This window comes from Homo sapiens, chromosome 6 (assembly GCF_000001405.40).
Source record: "Homo sapiens chromosome 6, GRCh38.p14 Primary Assembly".
Classification (NCBI taxonomy): Eukaryota; Metazoa; Chordata; class Mammalia; order Primates; family Hominidae; genus Homo; species Homo sapiens.
The window spans coordinates 66004181-66005973 of NC_000006.12; positions in this window are offsets into that span (position 1 = coordinate 66004181).

Sequence of the window (1793 nt, forward strand, 5' to 3'; positions counted from 1 at the left end):
AAGTTATCAGTGAAGAAAAGTAGTCATATGACAAGTATGAAAGCAGAAAATATGAAGAGGATTAAGAGGATTACTAAATGAAGCTGAGTTTATAAAAAGCTAAAGTGACAACAAGCCAAAAATTGGTAAAGAATGCTACAATTCATGTAAGGATCAGTAGTGTTCTACTATATTCAGCTTGTGTCTACCCATAGCTACTAGCTCAATTTTAACTGTAAATAGTTAATTCACGTATGATTATTTTGTTATAAACTCAAACTTTCTATGATTTTCATCAAATGCAGGAATAATGATATCTATTTCAATTATCTTTATATACTGCTAAAAATCTTGGGTCATGATTCAACCTTCACTTAATTATAGTTTAGGTGATAAGATTATATCAACATTTAGTTGGGTTTTAATCTTAGAGTTCTATCTCTATATATAATAGCGTAGTATGGCAGGTCATTCAAGTTAAGTTAATTTCTGCTTTGATAGTCAAGTAGGTAATTATCAGCACTTGTAAAACATTCTAGATATTTTAGCCTCCACTTATGAGTGAGAATATGAGGTATTAGTCTTTCTTTGCCTGGCTTATCTTAACATAATGTCCTTCAATTCCATCCATGTTGCTGGGAATGACATGATTTTATTTGTTATGGTCAAATAGTATTACACACACCATACATATGTGTGTGTATATATGTGTGTGTGTATATGTATACACACACCCATATACACACACACTATACACTGTACATATATATTCACATATACACATATATTTTCTTTATCCATTTTTCTATTATATACACATACACAAACAACGTTTTCTTTATCAGTTTATCTGTTGATGGACACTTGGGTTGATTGCATTATCTTTGCTATTGTGAATAGTGCTGCAATAAACATATGAGCACAGGTATTATTTTTATATATTTATTTTGGATAGATACCCAGTAGTGAGATTGCTGGGGATCAAATGGTAGTTCTAGTTTTAGTTTTTTGGAAAATCTTCATACTTTTTTTCAAAATGGTTACACATTGCCCCCAACAGTGTGTAAGATTTCTCTTTTCTCTGCATCCTAACCAGCATCTGTTTTTTTTAATATATATTTACAAATAGCTATTCTGATTGGGGAGAAATTATATTTTATTAGTTTTATTAAATTTGCATTTCCGCAGTGATTAGTGGTGTTGAGAAAACCTTCATATACACATATTGGCCATTTGTAAGTATTCTTTTCAGAAATGTCTACTCATGCTATTTGCCCATTTATTAATGGAATTATTTGTCTTTTTTGTTGTTTAGTTGTTTGAGATCCTTGTAAATTCAGCATGTTAGTCCTCTGTCAGATAAGCAATTTGCAAATAGTTTCTCTCATTCAAGAGGTAGTCATTTCACTCTGTTGATTGTTTCTTCTGCTGTGCAGACTTTTTTAGCTTAATATGGTCCCATTTATCTATTGCCTGTGGTTTTGAGGTCGTAGACAAAAAATCTTCACCTAGACAAATGTCGTGAAGAATTTGTGCTACTTTTTTTTCTTGTAGTTTTACAGGTTGGGTATTACCTTTAAGTCTTTATTACATATTGAATTGATTTGTTGTATATAGTGAGAGATAAGCATCCAGTTTTATTTTTCTGCATATGGTTATCCAATTTTCCCAAAACCATTTATTGAATAGGGTGTCCACCAATGTATGTTATTGATGACTTTGTTGAAGTTCAGTTTTCTGTAAACATGTGGATTTATTTCTGTGTTTTCTATTCTGTTCTTTTGGTCTATGTGTCTATTTTTATGCCAGTACCA